The 21,082-nt window shown below is 40.8% G+C and overlaps 1 protein-coding gene across 5 annotated transcripts, besides 1 other annotated feature; it reads left to right on the top strand.

Moving 5' to 3' along the window:
• Nucleotides 242–341: an enhancer, noted in NCBI's record as "active region_29701". NCBI's record gives its function as "activates an Ori minimal core promoter by ATAC-STARR-seq in GM12878 lymphoblastoid cells {active_cell/tissue: GM12878}" and the evidence as "EXISTENCE:reporter gene assay evidence [ECO:0000049][PMID:35858748]".
• SPIN3 (spindlin family member 3) lies at nucleotides 273–20,694 on the top strand. 5 transcript variants are annotated; one of them, NR_027139.2, is made up of 5 exons: nucleotides 273–598; nucleotides 865–1,091; nucleotides 11,336–11,548; nucleotides 17,154–17,234; nucleotides 18,618–20,694. NR_027139.2 is itself a non-coding variant. In XM_006724578.4 (2 exons), the coding sequence occupies exon 2, from the start codon at nucleotides 867–869 to the stop codon at nucleotides 1,641–1,643; it is 777 nt and encodes a 258-aa protein (XP_006724641.1). In that variant the 5' UTR covers nucleotides 273–533; nucleotides 865–866; the 3' UTR covers nucleotides 1,644–4,983. The 5 variants fall into 5 exon arrangements, 4 of the variants coding, with proteins under 4 accessions (XP_006724641.1, XP_006724640.1, NP_001010862.2 ...); XM_006724578.4 differs by lacking the exons at nucleotides 11,336–11,548; nucleotides 17,154–17,234; nucleotides 18,618–20,694 and having other exon boundaries at nucleotides 273–533; nucleotides 865–4,983; XM_006724577.4 differs by lacking the exons at nucleotides 11,336–11,548; nucleotides 17,154–17,234; nucleotides 18,618–20,694 and having other exon boundaries at nucleotides 273–572; nucleotides 865–4,983.
• The last annotated feature ends 388 nt before the right edge of the window (nucleotides 20,695–21,082 follow it).

Below are 21,082 nucleotides of genomic sequence, written 5' to 3'. Positions count from 1 at the left end.
GGAAAGCAGAAGGGGCAGGGGCGCAGAGGGTTGAGGTTAGGTGAGGGGAGGGGCGCGTGCTAAACCAGAAGAGGTAAACCAATGCAGTGAGAGAGAGGTGGTTGTGGGCTCCACAGCTTCTGATTTGGAGGAAGCTGCGAGACCGAGAGCCTAGGAGCACCTTCCACGCCCAGGGCTGTGGTACAGGTTGGTGGGGGAGGGGCGCCACGCGGTGTTTGGCAGGAAGGGGAGGCCTCTCTACTGACCGGAAGCTGCGCTAGAAAAAGAAGGAGGAGACTGCGGCGCAGCAGCGACTAGTGGGAGTCCGATGTGGGAGAGGGGCTGCGGCCACCGCCACCGCCGCCGCCACCAGGAAGGCGGAGGACGCAGGAGCCAAGAGCAAGGGACGCCGCCACGGTCATCTTCGCCTGCCCCGCCGCCCTCTTAGAGACACTCATTGCCTATGGATCATCCTCTCCCAGCTTTTGCAAGCACCGGGCTGCTCGCCCGCTGATTTTCCTCCTCCATAGGCTCACTGCGGAGGCAACGGCGAGGTGTCCGATTTGTGCACTTGAGGCCCGCAATCCGGGACGGTGGGGAATCTGCGCCTCCTGGCCGGGTAGTGTTGGAAGCAGGGCGAGGGGAATGGGGAAACGCTTCGTATTTCACCGAACCGCAGATCTTAGCCAGACTGAGCTGGGGAGGAAGGTTACTGCAGGCACTCAGCCAGGGTGCCTTGATTTCCAGCTTTGCTATCTAGCTTTCGGGAAAAACAGGTGTGGGTTTACTGGGTGCGCTGATTAGGAGAAAAAGCTCTCCGTGTTATGCATTGATTTTGTTAATTTCCTTTCTCGGTCCACCTGGCAACTGTGCTCCTCTTCGCAGGCATGAAGACCCCGTTTGGAAAGGCAGCTGCAGGGCAGCGGTCCAGGACGGGCGCTGGCCACGGCAGTGTGTCTGTTACCATGATAAAGAGGAAGGCTGCACACAAGAAGCATAGGAGCCGACCCACCTCCCAGCCTCGGGGGAACATCGTGGGCTGCAGAATTCAGCACGGATGGAAAGATGGAGATGAACCTCTAACACAGTGGAAAGGAACCGTTCTGGATCAGGTACCTGTAAATCCCTCTCTGTATCTTATCAAATATGATGGATTTGACTGTGTTTATGGATTGGAACTTCACAGAGATGAAAGAGTGTCATCACTTGAAGTCCTTCCTAATAGAGTTGCATCATCTAGAATCAGTGATACACACTTGGCAGAAATAATGGTTGGCAAAGCAGTGGAACATATTTTTGAGACAGAGGAAGGTTCCAAAAATGAATGGAGGGGGATGGTCTTAGCTCAGGCACCTGTCATGAACACATGGTTTTACATTACCTATGAGAAAGATCCTGTATTATATATGTACCAGCTCTTAGATGATTATAAAGATGGTGACCTCCGCATCCTTCAAGATTCCAATGATTCTCCTCTGGCAGAGAGGGAGCCAGGAGAAGTCATAGACAGCCTGGTAGGCAAACAGGTGGAATACGCCAAAGACGATGGCTCCAAGAGAACTGGCATGGTCATTCATCAGGTAGAAGCAAAACCCTCTGTGTACTTCATCAAATTTGATGATGATTTCCATATCTATGTCTACGATTTGGTAAAAACATCTTAGAGGTCATCTTGAAATTTGCCAAATATATGAGACTCTAAATCTGTAGACACAGAAAGTCTTGATTGCTTTCCAGTTTGTAAGAACCATCTTCTCCCTTTTTGCACGTTTTGCTTGGCAAAAAAATTGGAACTTCTGCCCTCTCATACGTTTTTGGAAGAAACCTTTTGCCCATCTGTCCAACCTTTTCACTGGTTCCTCTCCGCAATTTAACTGATTAGTGAGAAGGGTAAAGTCTGACATCCATTGGCTCATACTTTTTTTTATCTTGGGTGGTGTTAATAGATTAAAGGTAGCTGAACACCTCTCACCTCACTCTTTTTGGCACTTGGACTCTACACTCATTGAGGTGTGAAGCTTGCTGAGATATCCCATGTGACTGGCTGGGTAAGTGTCTTTGCAATCTCAAATCTCCCCCAAGTGGCTTCAAAAATCTAACTTGGGAAAGAGTGGGAAGCCCATTTTGGTCTCTTGTTCAAGTTGCATTCTCAGTTCTAACTGTACTAAAAGTAAGGCTAATAATTTTGCTCTCTTTCCGGTTCTTTCACCTATTGCTCAACTGTTTTAGAATTAAGAAGGTAATTACTTTGCATTTTAGTACCTAACCATAGGCTGAGAAACCTTGCAAAACTGATAAGAAGACAAGCATTTGGGGACCAAACTCCAAGTGGAGAGATCAAGATTTCTGGTGGAGCTTAAGTGAAAGGTTTTAGTCATCAGTGGCATTAGGGTCTCTCTTGTCTCCAATAGCTCTGGCTGGTATCTGCAGACATGGAGTAGGTTTTAACTGATAGAAGCTGTGCAGGCAGACTTTAGCACAAATGGTCTTTGCCAGCCCAGAGGAGCATTAAGCCAGGCTCTAGCTAGAGCCCTCAGTCACAGGCAAAGGCTGGGTTTGGCTGGGTTTGGACAGATCTGTCCAGAACCTCAAAATGAAAGAGGAGAAACCTAGAATCAAACTGAGATACAGATTTCTTTGCTGTGCTAAGAGAGACTCAAGTTTTAGATTTGATTCTTAGGAGACTGAATTCAGAGTCCCAGCATGTGAGGTGGGCAAGGCACTTGTGAGAACCAAGAATGGCTGAAAGCAGGCTATACTTCCTTGCAGGGACTGGTGGGCTCATCTATTATGGTATCCCAGCAGGACTTGGAACACAGTCAGTGGTAGGTAATCTGTAGGCTTAATGATGTTTTAAGTGCTGGCATTGGTAGATAGAAATCTAATAGATTTTTGTTAGTGTTTGGATTTTTAACTATCCTGTTTCTTGGCTGGCCCTAAGAAACTTATATGCAGATAAGGGTGAGTTCTACTGTGGCAGAAAAGTAAACAATGGAAGGGCCTTTGAGCTTTCCATTATTAAAGAGCCATTGGCGGAGGTTAACCAAAGCCTAGGAAAGAAAAGTTGAAGTACAAGCATGGTTTTTGAGAGAAGCACCTGGCCAAAACCAAAGCTTTCTCATTGAGGTTCTCACAGAAGCTCCATTAGCAGTAACAGCCTAATAAGGCCATGGAGTTCTGCACATTTGGGGCTGGGACTCAAGGCAGTACAATCATATTGGGACTGTACTGCAAGATATCTTCCAAATTAGTTTAAGTTCACAGGTCATGGAGTCCAGACTACCGGCACAGATTGGCATCCTGCTGAGGATGAAACAAAGAAGATGTTCTCTTTTCTCCTATGTTTTATCTGTCTACTTTTGCTTTTTGATGCCACTAAGTCTCTACTATGATGTTTGACTGACAACAGCAATGTGGGTCTGTATTGCCCTATGTTCTAAGTCCTGGGGTCATATATTTGCTTAAAAAAACTGTTCTAGTGGCTGGGGACTAGTGTGCTTTCTAATTTTTTTGATGTGAGGTTGATATTGTGATAATCTTATGTCTTCTTGACCCTTTGGACTCTTTAATATGTATGACATGCAATTGTGGGGTTAGATTAATTCAACTCCTGAGGTCCTGAAGGAACTTCACCCAGTCAAGAGGAAGACAGCCAAGGCTGCAGCTGCTGAAGGAACCCCATATCTGGGCAGACATCTTTGTGAGATCTATATGGCTGAAATGAGAAAAACGAGAAATTGGGAAAGGCAGAATTTTGGACTTTAATTATTTTGGACTTTGAATTAGAAATTTAATTTTGGGCAGTCCTTTTTCCCTTGGAGTTTAATAGTTGATGGGGTGGGGGTGAGGTCATATAGTTCAAACTAAGGCATTTTTATTATGTTGTTGATATTGTATTATTTGGAGTATTTTAATGCTATCTTTGGGAGTCATTGTATAATTGTTGTCAGCTATGTCAGGAAATATGGCTGGACATAATTGTAAATTAGGGCTGCAATTGTGATCAAATTTTCAGTCTAGGGTGTAATGTAGCCTTAGAGTTAATTTAATTACTGTTCTATTTTGACTTATTTCAGAGCCTCTTGGGGGCAAAAACAACTGCTCACCAATCTTACATTGATGGGAGCAGAACTTTTCTAAGATACTGTTGGTCTCCCTGGAAGGGGACAGCCACAGCCCTGTTTGTTGACCAGAGTCTTGAGCATTAACCATTGTGGCTTAAGAGAATGAAAATGTACAAGGGTATGATGGGATCTATCCTCTTCCTCTCTCCATGCTCCTGACTCAAGAAAAGGAAAAGACTTGCATCTCTCAAAAATGTTTGGAAGAAAGTTCTACCCATCTTCTCTTACACTCATTCAATCTTATGCTTGGGAGGAGGAATAACTTGATGAGATTGAGAAAATGGTTATAATGGATAGGCAGCTTAGGCCACTCTTGGATCTTGAGTTCGTTCCACACAGCAAGATGTGGGAAAGACTGCAGTCCTTCACTACATGGCTGGGTAAACATCTGCTTTCTAGACCCAACTATCTCTCCTTGGGGTGGGGGAATCCCAAAGTCGTTAGACTTATGATAGAAGTTCATTTCAGCCTCAGGTCCAAGCCATGTTCTCCAATCCAGCTCTATCAGCTATAAAGCTGGTATCTATTTTGATTCTTTTTTACAGTTTTAATATATAAATTGTTTTTTAGAAAAATAACACATGCCTATGGTAAAAGTCAAACAGTATAAAAGGGTATACTATTAAAAAGTAAGTCTCTCTTCCTCCTTCTCACCCCTGGCCTCAGTTCCCTGGTCCCATTTTCAAAAAGTAACAACTGTTACCAGTTACTGATGTATCATTCCAGAGATATTCCATGTATTTACAAGCATATTGTGTGTGGGTATGTGTGTATCAGGTTTTTTTTTTTTTTTTACACAAATGGTGGCATACTATACATGCTGTTCTGAATTTTGCTTTTTTCACTGAACAATATATTAAAGCTGATATCTTAATCCCTATTTGATTCCTGTGTATATTTTTTAATTGGTTCAGAATCTGGAAGGGAAGGAGGTGTAATTAATTCAAACCTTCAGACCCTAACCCAGTTTAATGAAAACTTACATGACCCTACAAACCCACAATTTCTGCCAGTCCAATTTTTCTCAAAAGTAGAATGTGAAATATATGTGAACATAACGTATTCTCTGAGAGGAACTTCTCAAGAGAGGCCAGTATATTTTTACTGAGGGAAGTTAAAAGGAAAACCAATTATATATTGAAGCTGTGGGGAAAGTTAAGGTACTATATAATTAATAAACCAGAAATGAAATGAACAATTATTTTTTTCTGTTTAAACTTGCACTCACATCTACTGCAATATGCAAATTCATATTTATAGCTTTGATTTGCCTTTTCTAACAGAACTTGCCTGCATGTAACAGGAAACCCATTTCAAACAGGCTTAAACTGTTACCAAACGTTGATCAATATAAATTTAAAAAAAATCTAGAGCTCAGATGGGCTTCAGGCATAGTTTGAATTGGGGCTCAGGCTCAGTGTTTATGATTCTTTAGGATTTTCCCTCTGTGTGTCAGTTTCATTCTCAGGCTGTTTTTTCTTATGGTAGCAAAATTGGACCAGCAGTTCCAGGCTACAGCAGTCCAATCTAGAGAAAGATAGATAACCTGTGTCCTATGATGTATTCTCAGCTGGCTTAGGTCAGATACTTTGACCAATCACTAAAATCTCAGGGATGAAATACACTGATTGGCTTAGCAAGGTCAGGTGTTCCATCCCTAACCTCTAGGGCAGTGGTCCCCAATTGTTTTGGCACCAGGAACTGGTTTCATGGAAAACAATTTTTCCACGGACAGGGTGGGTGAGGGGAGGGGGGTGGTTTGGGGATGATTCAAATGCCTTACATTTATTGTGCAATTTATTTCTATTATTATGTTCTAATATATAATGAAATAATTATATAACTCACCATAATGTAGAATCAGTAGGAGCCCTGAGCTTGTTTTCCTGCAACTAGACTGTCCCAAATGAGGGTGGTGGGAGACAGCAACAGATCATCAGGCATTAGATTCTCATAAGGAACATGCAACCTAGATTCCTTGCATGCACAGTTCACAATAGGGTTCATGCTCCTATGAGCATCTAATGCCACTGCTGATCTGACAGGAGGCAGAACTCAGGTGGTAATGCAAGTGATGGGGAGCAGCTATAAACACAGATGAAGCTTCGCTTGCTTACCCACCTGCCACTCACCTCCTGCTGTGCAGCCTGGTTCCTAGCAGGCCATGGACCAGTATTTGTCAGTGGCCCAGGGGTTGGGGACCCCTGCACTAGGGTATATCTCTCTGAAACCAGATGGATTTCCAGTAGAATCAAGGGCTTTGGGTAAATGAATAATGAATGCTATTCACCAATCACAAATATCTAGTATAGCTTCTTCATTTGAATACCTAGTATCCATGGACACATTTCTTCCTACACATCCTCTTTCAAAGAATGCCCACATGTAGGTGTGATAAATTCATGTCCCCAAAGGAGAAAAACCTGAAGTCTTATCTAGTTACTGCATTTAGCGTTAAGTTCAAGATCCCTAGTTGATATGCAGCCATCTTTAGATCCATCTTCCTTGCAGTCTGGTCACCTATACTTAAATTATAAACTACTCTTCTCAACATACCCAATATACACTAGTGGGGAGATAACCAGAGAAATATAATCAAAACTACCATTTGAAAAAGGGAGGAAATAGGAAACAATACATAGTAGCTTCTGGTCCAAAGCATATATCATAACCTGTTAGACAAGGACTACCTATCCTGGCAGTTGAGTGACTCCTTTGGTCAAATACCTCTTTGTGTTTTCTGAGACGTTCTCTCTTGGAGGCATATCTTGGGTGGATGCCCTTTTTGGGGGTTGAACTGGGCATTCTACGCCACTTCTTGCACCTGGGGGTTGAACAATTGGAGGTTTTTAAATTATTGGCTATAATTAGAGATTATTTAGTACAGTAGCTCTCACTTTAGTACACACCAGAATCACCTTGAGAACTTGTTAAAATACAGATTTCTGGGGCCCTCTTACAGAGATTCTGATTGAGCAAGTCTAGGGTGGGGTCCACAGGCTTATATTTATAACAAGTTCCCACATGAGACTGATGCTGCTGGGACCCCACATTGAAAATCACTGATTTATAGGTGGCAATTGAGTGAGGTCAGAGTTATTATTTCCTATACTTACCTGATAAGATTTACCTGGAGTGATTGTTAAATATAAATTGCTGAGTCCCATCTTAGATGTAATGAATCAAAATCTCTTGGGAAGGGACCTGGGGCAGCTGTACAAGATACCTCAGGTGATTCTTTATCATCAGTAATGATTAGGAAACACTGATCTAGGAAATTAGGTTTTTCTTGCTCCAATCTTATTTCCTAATAAGTCTTCCATCTGCTTGCCCTTGTTCTCACTAAGCTTAATTTGGGGCAAAAAAAACTTGGCTTTTCAAATCATACAAAGTTCCAAATTACCCACGTCTCTTTCCACTGGGATTTCACAAAACCAGTGAGTAAACAAGCAAAGTTTTATTTTCTTCTTTCACTGTTTTCAAGTAGGCCCATTTCAACAATGGAGATGTTATGCTTGATCTTGGCCTAAGAAGCACAGATCTGAGGGCCACATGCTTCCCAAGAAAGGGTGGAATAAGTGAAAAAAACAATAAAGTCAGCTGATTGGACATTAATTCCAGGTTTTACTAGCTCTATACTAGCAAGTTACTTAATCTTTGTGAATCTATTCCCCTTCTTGATAGAGAGAGTAACACTCTTTACTCAGTTCTGTTTAGAAGTATATGAGAAACTATATCCTTAGCATGTAACATAGTGCAGCACAGATGCTTAATAAAGGTGAATTCCCTTTAGTTCTCAAGAGGGTAAACCGCATGTCCTTTTGGTTAACCTTTATATTTAGCAGTGCTCCAGTGACATGTAACTAGTGAATATAGGTCTAGAAATTCTATTACTGAAATGTGAAAGAAATTATTTAAATAATTCTTTAGATGTACATAGCTCTTTTAATCTCTGCTAAGAACTGAGTTTGTTTTCCCAGAGAGCTCGTTAATCTTTATAACATTACTGGACAGTTAAGAGAGCAGGGTTATTATCCTGAATGCAATCATTCATTCATTCATTCAGCTACTTTTTGATGGATTTGCCCAATAGTGATTAATGAGATAGATACTGTCCATTCTGTCAGGGAGCTTACATTTTCATAGAGGGGAGAAAAGCAACAAAGATATAGACAAATAACCTAAATAACGTGTATAATTTCAGAGAGTGATAAGTTGTATGAAGAACAAAAAAGCAGAGCAATGGATAGAGATGAACGGAAATAAGGGAACTACTTCAGCAAAAGGTTTTCAGAGGAAGGCCTGAGTGGATATTAGCAAATAACTAAAGAAGCCAGCCCATGCAATGATTTGAGGAAGGAGTGTTCTAGAGAGAAAAAAAAAAAAAGTTGAAAGGCTGGAATACCTGATGTCATTTATCCATAGCTATTAATTCAGTAATGTGTTTAACATTGAAACCTAGGGCCTGTGATTCTTCTCTACTGTTCTGCACAGCTAACACTATACCTCTGCTGTTTTCTGGTATGTTTTTGGAGTTTTTAAATATGTTTTTGTTTGTTTGTTTGTTTGTTTGTTTTTTGAGACAGAGTTTTGCTCTTGTTGCCCAGGCTGGAATGCAATGGCCCAATCTCGGCTCACCGCAACCTCCACCTCCTGGGTTCAAGCAATTCTCCTGCCTCAGCCTCCCAAGTAGCTGGGATTAAAGGCATGCAACACCATGCCTGGTTAATTTTGTATTTTTAGTAAAGACATGGTTTCACCATGTTGGTCAGGCTGGTCTTGAACTCCTGACCTCAGGTGATCCGCCTGCCTCAGCCTCCCAAAGTGCTGGGATTACAGGCATGTCCCACCATGCCCGGCCTTAAATATGTTTTTCTATTGTTATCCTAGAAAGCAAGTAAAGTGGCTAAGAGGTCACTGATTAAATGGAAATGGGGCAGATTTCTTCCTCTACCCCAAATCTATGAAACAGGTGCATAACATAAAGTTGAAGCTCACATGTAATGTAATGAATGTGTATACCTATTTTTCTGGTTACATTTTCAAGCACATACTACAAGACATTTGTATTATTAGTTTAAATCATTTGCCCTTGGAGGATGTCGGGATGTCAGTAAACATTTGTTGGACACCTAGTATGTGTTGGGCACATCTTAATCTGCACAGGATACTGGAAGCTGTGTGTTACTACCTCCATTTTTCAGATAAGGAGATAAAGCTTAAAGAGAAAAAGGAAACCAAGGTCACACAGCTGGTAAGAGTGCTGGACTGAAACTAGCTCTCTTGATGCCAAGTAATAGTCTAATTATTATTTTTTCCTAATATTTGCATAAAGAAATGGGAAAGAAACAGTAGCACCAAGGGGGAAGTCCAGGTGATTCACAGCTGTGATTTTCGCCATGACTCATTCATATTCTTCCCTCTCTATCACCCTCTTTTACACACACTTTGTTCCTACTGTTAAATCTACTTAATTCATTCATTTGTTCAACAAATTTATTCAGTGCCTACTTTGTTCCAGGCACTTTAACTAGGCATTTGGGATATATCATGAACAAAGCATTCAGTGATGCCTGTTCTCATGGAGCTTACATTCAAGCAAGGGGAGGCTAACAATTAAAAAAATAATAATAATAAGTAAATTATGTGGGATGTCAAAATTGATAACTGTTATAAAAAAGAAAATTAGAACAAGATAAGAGGGAAGGGAAGTGGTAGGTCACCATGGTAAATAGGGAGATTGGGGTGGACTTCATGGAGAAGGTAATATTTGAGCAAATAAATGAAGGAAGTGAGTTAGCCAAGCATATATCTAGAGAAAGAGCATACTAGGCAAAAGGAACTACTAGAGGAAAGGGCCTAAGAGATAAGTGTGTTTTTGGCATGTTCAAAGACTAACAGGGAGGCTTATTTAGCTAGAGCTACATAGGTGAAGGAGAAAGACATAAGAGAAGTCAGAGAGGAAATAAGGGTCTAAATAATATAAGGCATTGTAAAGACTTGGTATTTACTCTGCATGAAATGGGGAGCCTGTCACAAGTTGGGTTTTCCCAGGAAACAGACCCAGAAACAAAGTTAATCTTGTAGAAAATTTATTAAGCAGCGCCCTTGGGGTCAATACCTGGGGAAGAAATGGGAAAGCAGCAGGAGCACAAAGAAAATGAAGCTCTAAAAAGACTCAGTTACAGTGTCAACCACACCCACAGGAAGCTGTGGAACTAGAATGGCCCTTCAGAGTTGGGGTAATATTTACAGGCCTTTCAACCCCTACACTAATCCGTCTTTGGATATGGGCTGCCCCAGGAAGGGGTGTTGCATTGGACAAAGTTGCTTTCAGCAGCTGAGGCAATCTCTAATGGGGGTGAGAGCTGAAGCAGCATAATAAGTCCATCACTGAAGCATAACCTGGGTGTTGCATCCCATGTCCACAAACCCACTGTGGATTTTCAGCAGAGAATTGACCTCACTTATGTTTCTAAAAAAATCTCTCTGCTGTTTTAAGGACGGGCTATAAAGGAGAGAGTGAGGAAGCAGGGAAACTAGTTAGAGTATTGCAGTATCCCATGTGTGAGATTATATCTGAGAGGTAACAATGGAGATGGTGAGAGGTATTTAAATTTGGGGTATATTTTGAAGGAAGAGTAAGTAGAACTTTCTCACAAATTAGAAGTGAAATGTAAGGAAAGAGAGGAGTCATGGATGGCTCCAAAAAACAACTGGGAAGATGGAGTTGCCACTGATAGAGATGAAGAAGGCTATGGTTTGGATGGGTGCTAGGAAGAGGAGAGGCTAGGAAATCAGTTTTGGACAAGTTGAGTTTGAAGGTGTTTTTAGGACACCTAAGTGGGGCTGTTGAACAGTTATTGGATATATGAGTGTGCAGTTCATGGGAGAGGTCTGACTAAGCTGGATACATAAGTTGGAAATTTCTCCATGTAAATAATACTTAAAACCATGGGACTGTATGAGATCACCCTAGGGAATGGGTGTACATAGAGAACAACAGATGACCATGGACAGAGACCTGGGTCTTAAAGAGATCAGAGAGAAGAGGAGACACAAACAAGAGACTGAGAAGTCACCACCAGTGAGGTAGGAGGTAAACGAAGTGTGATGTCTTGGAAGTCCTTTTTGGCCTTCCTCCTTCCCATAAATCTCTTTGTGACAATTTTTTTTTTCACTTAATCTCAAATGTCAGCTCCTCCACTGTACTTTTTTTTTTTGCTTTTCAGCTCCTTTGAATAAACCTGCCCACCACCAAGAACCCATACATGACTTTCTTTTCATTGTATCAAAGTAATGTGTCCACCGGTGTGAGCACCAGCAACTCACTTCTTCCTCAGACATCTCTAAAGCTGGAAAGATTTTGAGGGACAATATGGTTTCCTTCACCCCACACCAATGTTATGAATGAGACCAGCAGACCAACAGCAAACACCTAGAAGGTAAGAAGTTATTTTTTAAATATCCTCTTCCAACCCTATAACACGGCAGAAAGCAAATGGAATGGATGGAACAAGTGTCAAAAAACAGTGTCTTCGTGAACGAGAGAGAGGGGAGGTGGGCTCTGAAAGCCTAACTCAAAGCTCAGTTGACTAATTAAAGAAGGAAATTAGAGGGCCGTGCTGGTATGTGCCTGTAGTTCCAGCTGCTGGGATGGCTGAAGTGAGAGGATCCCTGAGTGCAGGAGTTCAAGTCCCATCTGGGCAACATAGTGAGACCTCCATCTCTAAAAACTAAAATAAAAGAAGGAAGTCAAGGCCAATGCAAGGAGAGACCTAGTTAACCTACGGCTCTATTATATCAGTCCTCTGTATTATACATACATAGCCAAGCACTACCCAGATGCTATCATTCAGTGATCTGCCTCTTCTTACCAGCATTTAGTTATGGAACACAAAATATTTCTAGTGCAGATGGCCTCAGCGGGGTCCCCAGTAGTCAAGCCCCACCCTAGCATAGTACTGACCTTGCAGAGCCTTTGCTCATCCCACTACTCAGGTCTGTTGAAACTGTTGATTCCCATGGATATCTGTTGATTTATTATTTGCTGAATATTTGTTGATAACTGTAGATATTCGTTGGCCTTAGGGCCTCCCTTGCTTAAACACTGAAGTACACAAATCACTGCACACACACTATCAGATTCACCCACACAGTAATTCAAATGGTGCTTGGCCCACTTCTTTCCAAAACCTCAGACATTTGGAATGCTATCAGTTACCCTGTGTGAGATTGTGACTGTTTCTTAAGAGATTCCATTCTGCATGGGAAGAGAGAAAAGAACTGAAGAGTAGTGGGATGGCTGGGGATAGGGTAGAAAATCCCAAAGTTTTCTAATCCTCACCTCTTATTCCTTGTCTCTCACTCTCCTTTTTCCCCTCATTCACTAAAATGTGAGTACCCTGCACACATGAGTACCACTAGCTGCGGGGCACGTAAAAGAACAGGTGTCTCAAGAATGACTGTTGAAAACTATCACCCTGCACAAGGAAAGGCAGGTTTTGGAATAAATATTAACATATCAGTATTGTCTGAAATTGATGATGCCTTTTAAAGTGGATAGTTTCACAGAATGGAAATGCAGTTTGTAATTTTGCATGACAAATGGGGCCACTAAACTGCATGACAGCATTACATAATTTGCCTGGAATGAAGACCACCTTTTCAGCCCAGCATTCAAGGCCCTTCATGATCTGGCTCCTTTCTACCTTTGTAGCTTAACTATTTACTACTGCACTATTTACTACTACTCCCTGGTCCTTATGTTTCAGGCCATTTCCTTCAACAGTCCAAGTTGTTTCAAGTCTCTTGGTTTTTGCACTTGTTTCTCCTGCCTGGAATGTGCTTCCTCTCACTGTATTACCTGGGTGGAAACAGGATTTACTTAAACATTTCATATCTGAAGTCTTTAATTAACTCCACAGCTTGGTCAGTTGATCGCTCTTTACTCTTATATCCTTTATCCCTTTGTTATAGTATTTACTGCTACCTCCTGTTCCCCCAGAATGACAGCTTCTCTGTGATCTCTTCAGAGGCAACAGCTGTGTGGTTGAATTCCTCTTCATATTCTAGACATTGCCCAGCACAGACAAGGTTCTTTCTGGGGCATCAGAAAGTATTTTTTGACTAAGTGACTGGCTGAGAGAAGCAATGCTGGCCCTGGGTATTTTCTTCTCAAGACAAGTAGAAGGGATTTGCCACGAGAGTACACAGAAGCACTGGAGGAGAAAAGAACTGAGGTGACAGTAACAATCTTACGGCCATTCTTTCAGATGATAACTTCCAGTGCTTCTGTGAAGTCAGATGTTTCCCTCCCTTTTCTCACAAGAAGAAACTGAGAAGGGAAGTGGCAGGTCTCCCAGGTCCCACAGCTAATCAGCAGTGGGGCTGGAACTCCAACCTTGGGCTCCTAACACCAGACCCTAAACTTCCTGCTCCAGCTCCCCTGAATCTGGGCAGGAGTTATAGCTCAAGCCTGACCTGGATGCATTCAGGATAAGGGGTTTCTCCATATGTTGCTTCTGGCCCTGAGAATTCCATCATGATCCTGGGTGGTCCGTGATGCTGTCCAGGGTGAGCCCATTTACCCTGAGAGGATGTAGTACCTCTCCAAGTAACGATGGAGTCAAGTGTCTATCTCTGGCCAGCCTCAGGACAACAAAGATGTTTTTTCACCCATCACTGAGCTGTACATTGTGAACAAACTCGGGGAAGCAGCAGATACTGGAGAACCTTCTTGCTCCACTTCTACCATCTATTGCCTGTGAGACATGAGGAAGTCAGTCAACTTCTCTTCCTTTTGGACCCATTAATTCCTGAAACAAAATGAAAGGCACAGGGAATTGAGGGTGGGGTATGGCACCAATAAGCCATGCACCTCACAGGCTTTTTGTGATGCTCTAGTCATATAATGAGCAAAGATACGCTTGTGAAGTGTAATGGGATATTTAAGTTTAAAAAAATGTTACCATAAATCCGTGAGTGAATATTACTCTTGCAGGAAAATGCAGATAGGAAATAAGTATAAAATCCAGAAACCAGTTTAATGTCTGCAGTGCTCATCTATGCCATGATAGGAATTATAAGAGAGTTTAAAGCTGTAGTTTTTGGGATTTGAAGTTGAGGAACTTTTTATCCATTGGTAGTTTAAAGTTTACATCAACAATGTCATAAACCTGGACCTTTAGCTGGCCACCTTTGAAAGTATATAGAGAAGATATGCATGAGAATAAAGGTACCCACAGGGGGAAAACCAAATCACAAAATGAAACAAACAAACAAAAACTTTATCATGATTATAACATTTGAATCTGCGGAATTTTTCTTTTTCTTTTTTTTTTTTTTTTTGAGATGGAGTCTCACTCTGTCTCCCAGACTGGAGTTCAGTGGTGTGATCTTGGCTCACTGCAACCTCCATCTCCTGGGTTCAAGCAATTCTGTCTCAGCCTCCCAAGTATCTGTGACTACAGGCGCCAGCCACCAACATGCCTGGATAATTTTTGTATTTTTAGTAGAGACGGGGTTTCACCGTGTTGGCCAGGCTGGTCTCAAACTCCTGACCTCAGGTGATCTGCCTGCCTCGGCCTCCCAAAGTGCTGGGATTATAGGCGTGAGCCATTGTGCCAGTCCTGAATCTGTGGATTTAGAGAGGCTTTAGGCCTCTTCTTCCCTCTGTTTGTCCCAGTATTATTAGTCAATACATTGCTTTCATTTTCTGGCACTTACCAAAAAAAAAAAAAAGATTTTAACTAATATGTTTCTTTTTATTTTTTTTCTTTTTAATGCCGGTAATGTTCTGTACCACGAAAGGAAATGCCAATTTGTTACTTAGATGTACAGAAGATTGTTAACTGGGTATATGGAAATTAAGAATGTAAGCATATACAGACAAGGACTGGTGGTAAGGACAGAAAAATAGAATTTAAGAGCTGTGCGGGCCTTGAGATTGTCTAGTCTCCCTCCTCATTTGTACAGAGTATGAAACAGGTCCAGAGAGTGGAAAGGGTTTAAAGTAACAGTAAAGTCCTATAGGAGTCACATCTTAAATCAGTATGTCTGACTCCCAAGCCACGCTGCTACTGCTGCTGCCCCTTCTTCTTTTGTCCCTTTTTTTTTTAATGAAGGAAATTAAAAAAGAGAGATACATTTTTAGTTCTTATTTTATTCCAACCCCATTTTTTTCCTTTGTCGCTGAACTGTAGTTGATATGTCCTTCCTACTAGTTTATTTTTTCACTATATATGTATCCCCAAAATATATATTGTTTTCATGTTTTAAATTTTTACCCATATAGTGTACTATGCCAGTATTTTTGTGTCCTGCTTTTTTCACTCTATTTTTGTGACCTTTTCATATGGATATATAAAATGCCATTTTGAGGCTATACCACAATGTATATATTCCCAAAGAATGAATATCTAGGTAATTGTTAGTTTGGGATTTTTTGTTTGTTTGTTTGTTTGTTTTTAATTCTTGTTCTAAAATATCCTTACACATTTCTCCTTTTGCACATGAGTTTCTGTTGTGCATATGCCTAGAATTGCTGGGTCATAGGGTGGGCACATCTTCGATTTTGCTAGAGAATACCAAACTTCTCTTCCGAATAGTTACATTGGTCTGTCAGGTGGAACCAGAATCTGATCTGAGTACGTCACAAGATTTAGTGAGGATCCAAGCAGAACTAGAGTGTGAAAACACGTGTGAAGTTGTTGACAGTGCTGTGTCATGAATCGTGAAGGGGCAATTTTAAGTCAGCATATGGACAACAATGGTCATAGGTAGACACTGGATAAATGACCAACTTGTCCTATGAACGAGGTCTTAATTTTATCTACCTTAGGACCAAGTCCAGAGAATCAGCAAAAATGATTACATTTAATTATATCTTCATGTTTTGTGAGGGCTTTAGATCTGATATAAACATACAGGAAAAAATCCTTTTTAATAAAGCTGGAAGAGACATAATAGCATCAGTTTCTAGGCAGAAAATCAGCCCTATACAAATTCTAAAGGCCGGTTACAAACTGGACATGTTTTAACATGGTTTAGAATGTTTTCACCGAAAAACTAGCACTGTGCCTTTGTCTCTGAGAAAAATAGATAAATGTGTCAATTATGTGTTTACAGTTTAATTCATATTCAGTTATATTTTGCAGCTTAAAAGGCCACTAACAAAAAAATAGAACATAACAAAATAAATCTCACTTGGAATACTGGTTGTTTTGTTTGCTGTTTGGTTCTTTTAGTGTACTTTCCTTTTTACTGTGTTTTTGTTTCTGGGTTAAGATGGTGGCAAACTGGTGATGCTTCATCCACTTTTACTCTCTCACTGAATAATCCATGATGGACTGGAGAATCTCAATGATTGGTTCACCATACTCTGGCAGAAATTCCTACTGACTGCCATATAGGTAGGGCTTGACTAAGAAACTCTTGGTAACCAATGCAGACTCAGACCTCTTGAAAAAAAAACAGCAGGGCCAAGCTGGATAAAAGCCAAAATTACTATGTTTGCCAGATTACACTATCAGGTTTTGTAGAACAGCTAGGACTCTCATATACCTAAAGATAGTGAAAAGATGTATAGAGATTGCTGAGGTTGGAAATATATGTTGAGTTTAATCTAACACTGTAATCTACAATGGCCTTTCAATGAAGGTTTAAGGAATTTGGAATCTGTTCTGCAGGCAGAAGGGAAAGTACTGATGATTTTGAGCAGTGACAGTAGGATCAGATGCATGCTTTAAAAGGTCCAGAAGTATAAAGGGTATATGTATATTAGGGCTGGAGTGGCTGGAGGCTGGGAGACAAACTTATTGCAAGACTCCACATAAGATCATATTTACCTCACTGAGTCCTGTCCTCAGGTAAATACTGTTAATTAAAAGGGTTTCACCATTTACAGAGCTTTCAGATTATTTATCCTTAATATTATTATCCCCACATGTGCTCATGAGCAAGCCTCTCAGGATCTTCTGCTCCAGTCTTGTGACGGTAGCATGTTCCTGCTTCTGGTGGTGCTAAACCCTGGGCAATCATCTCTCCTAGGAACAGCTGTTCTTCATGGGTGACTGCTGTGAAACCAACAGGATGGCCTCTTTTCTATTTAATCCTAAGAGTGGGCATAAGGTAAGCGTTTACAAGATTTTACTGAAAGTTTTGGAATGTAAGAAGGAAAATGCTACACTGAATATAATTACAACTATTCAGGCACAGACGCATCCCAGAGTCTCCTACCAAGTTGACTCTCCTGTCTGTCTTCCTTTTCTGCCTTCACTTGGCTTCAGACAGCTCACCTTCCAACCACTGGAAGTGTTTATAGCATCTCCACATCTGTCCACAAGGTGGAGTTCAAGGCCAAATTTTTCACCAGCTCCAGATACTGAAAGGAGTACTTTTTCTTCATTCATAGTCAAGGTAAGGCCTGCCTCCTAGGTCTTCATTTCCTGTTCATACATTGAATCTGACAGTGGCAACATATTCCCTTTGGAGGAAATTCTGTCTAGGCCTAAAGCAGTGTGGTCTAGCTTTATGGTTTGATTAAAGACAATCACACAATGTCCCATATATTTCCTACATCACATGTAGGCCATCAACAGTCTGATCAAGGTTTGGCTATGTCAAGTCCAACACAGCTCCTAGGTATCAAATGATCATAAACTCTGGAGGTTCACTCTCACTCATGGCACCTGTCTTAGCCTATTTTCTGTTGCTTATAACAAAATACCTGAAAATTTATTTAAAAAAATAAAATGTATTTCTTACAGTTCTGGAGGCTGGGAAGTTCAAGATTGAGGGGCCACATCTGGTGAGGGCCTTCTTGATGGTAGAAACTCTCTGCAGTCCTGAGGTAGCACAGGGCATCACATGGCAAGGGGACTAAGTATGCTAACATGGTAGCTTAGGTCTCTCTTTCTCTTCTTATAAAACCACCAGTTCTACTTCCATGATAATCTGTCAGTGGATTAATCCATTCACAAGGGCAGAACCCTCATGTTCCAATCACCTGTTAAAGGCCATACCTCTGAATACTGCCACATTGGAGATTAAGTTTCAACATAAGTTTTGGAGGGAATATTCAAACCATAGAAGTTCCTTTCTGTGTATTTTTATGCATGCATGTACACATGTGTGTAGAGACACAGAGAGGACCAGAGAGGCAGAAAACGCATATATACACCTGTACATTAAATCCATCTATGTGCACATATACGAAGTTGTAGAAATAGAACCATAGTATATATCCTCCTCTATAAATTTTTCCACTTAATAGAACGTGAACATGTTTGTAGGTTCTTATATGCAGAGTTACTTCTTTGTATAGTATTCCATTGTGTGAATAAAGCATAATTTATTTAGCAAATCCTTGTTGATATATATTGGGACAGTTTCCAAAATGTGGTTATTATGAACAATGCCACCAAGAACATTGTCATACACATTTATTGTGTACTTATGCATGAATTTCAATAGTGACACGTTAATTCAAATATTTATTTCTTATCTTTCCAGGTAAAATATTGGGTAGGTCCTTTGGAGTTCTAGACTCAGTTTGAGATTACAGAAGATATGCTCAACATCCTCCTTTGACCTGGTCCCAGTTTCACCATATTTGCTAGATGCTTTATAGTCTCTGGTAAGGAGGTGTACAATTCTCTGATTTTATTTCAGTTTTTAGGGAATTTTATTTTGTTCATTTCAACAAGAAAAATTACATAAACAGGTAACAGCTCCACTCAAAGCTGTTTTAAATGAACAAAATATTGGACTTTGTGAACAAATATGATACTTTTTCTTTCTGCAATTATTGGCTAGCAATCTTATTTTACTAAATCTATACTGACAAATTTAATTTGGTCCATTTATTTGAGTTTAAAGACTATTTCAAACTCTCCCCAGTGAAACAGTCATGGGCCATTGCTATCCTCAAAAGAACTAAATATATAAATAGCAGCTTTCCTCAAAAAAGATGATAAAGTCTTCTTTTCCCTTTAGAGCATAAATTTCAGTGGCAGGTAAAACTATTTTAGCAACAATATGCTCACTTCTTCCATGATATGTTTTTCTTCCCTACTAAGTTGAAAGTTTTTCTCAGTTTCCATAGCCACTCACAAGTTTTTCTCTACCTAACTGAAGTTGCCCTCTTCTGCTGGTCATTAGGACATTAACTTTTAGAATGATTTCTGTTTCAGCCTCTTGTTTTGAAGGCAGGCTTTTAATTTCCTCAGAGAAATTGCAATGGAACGAAAATTTGTTCTCTCTTTTACATATGTACACTTGTATAAGAGATGTAATGTTTTTAAATAAAATTTTTAATTCATGCAAAAGCATGTCTCTAACAGTGTGAAGGTTATAAAGATTAATAATAGTAGAAATATCCCTGTACCAATCACACAGAATAATTCTAGTCAGATACAGTTTTTGTAAGGACAAAAAAGAAAATAGATCTAAAAAGGTAAATAAGAGAGATCATTGCATAGTCCTTTACAGTTTAACAAAGGTTGTTTAGAAAGGACCCGCTCCATACTTATCCGATTCTCCATTTTCCACTGAATTTCCTTTCCAAACAATGTGCAGTATTCTCAATATCTATCAAAATTCCATAAAAGTTATGACTGCCAATTTATACAAACTGTCCACCAAGATGTTTTCTCCCAAACGTCGCATTCTGGAGCCAAGCCATTAAAGACTTGGACTGTGACACAGTTTTCATTATGAGAACCATACACATTGGTGTAATTACCCTCACCTCCCATTTACTACCCTATAAAGGGAATCCCTATGGCCTTAGGCTTACACACACATCTAGGAGCTCTAAGGACCAGGAAAAGTTAAAAGTGGACCAACCACTCAATAAGGTGGCTCTTCAGACCCTTCAGTGCCTACCACGAGGGGGAACAATTCCACAGGAAATGGCTTAGGCAGAGTCATCCCAAACCTAAGCTGCCTCTACTGGCTAGAAATCAACTGTGGAGTTCCAACCAACAGTAACCAGCCAGCCGTACCCCAGGCTTTCATTCTCATAAAAGACTAAACTACTGTAAACCCAAAATAAAATTCTAAGGCCCCCCCAACCATCTGAATGGACATCCTCCTCTGCCAGGGCACTCTAAAATTTAACCTGAAAGACTGGTTCAGGATATGGCAGAAAGTGGGGGGATCGGACCTACCTCATTATACCCTCCAACATTAACATAAACACAGACCTTAAATATGATAAGAAACATTCTAATGTATTCTCTCTGAAGCCATCTACCTGGAGGCACCATCAGGATGATGAAACTTTGGTGTCTACAACCTCTTACTATAACCCAGACATCGCATTTTATTGATAATAACCAGTTGCCAATCAGAAAATTTTTAAATCTACCTATAAATTGAAAGCACCCCCCCTTCCAGTTGTCCTGCCTTTCTGGACCGAATCAATGTGTATCTTAAATGTATTTAAATGATGTCTCATGTCTTCTAAAATGTGTAAAATCAAGCTGCACCCCAACCGCCTTGGGCACATGTTCTCAGGATATCCTGAGGGCTGTGTCACAGGCCATAGTCACTTATATTTGTCTCAGAATAAATCTTTTCAAATATTTTACAGAGTTTGACTCTTTTCCTCCACACTATGCCCCTAGTCACCACAAAAGCACAATCCCCAGCTGTTACCAGAAGGTTCCCCCAATTCTCAGATGGAAAGAGGCCAGGAGAGACCAAAATCCGAGCTAATTTGTTAGTTCTCACCCTTCTGCCCCCATCCCGACCTCCGCACTATTGGTTGTAAGACAAATTTTTGTTTGTGTTTTTTTTCCTTGTCAGCCTTCTAGAAACCCTGCCCGCTGCCTAGACAAGGGAATTGCAATGGAGAAAGAGTAATTCATGCAGAGAAGCTGTGTGGGACACTGGAGTTTTATTATTACTCAAATCTGTCTTTCCAAGCCTTCCCCGGGATCAGAGTTTTTAAGGATAATTTGGTGGGGAGAGGC

Source organism: Homo sapiens, chromosome X (assembly GCF_000001405.40).
Source record: "Homo sapiens chromosome X, GRCh38.p14 Primary Assembly".
Taxonomy (NCBI): domain Eukaryota; kingdom Metazoa; phylum Chordata; class Mammalia; order Primates; family Hominidae; genus Homo; species Homo sapiens.
The sequence above is the reverse complement of the archived record's forward strand: the minus strand, read 5'-3'. Positions and strand labels throughout refer to the sequence as shown.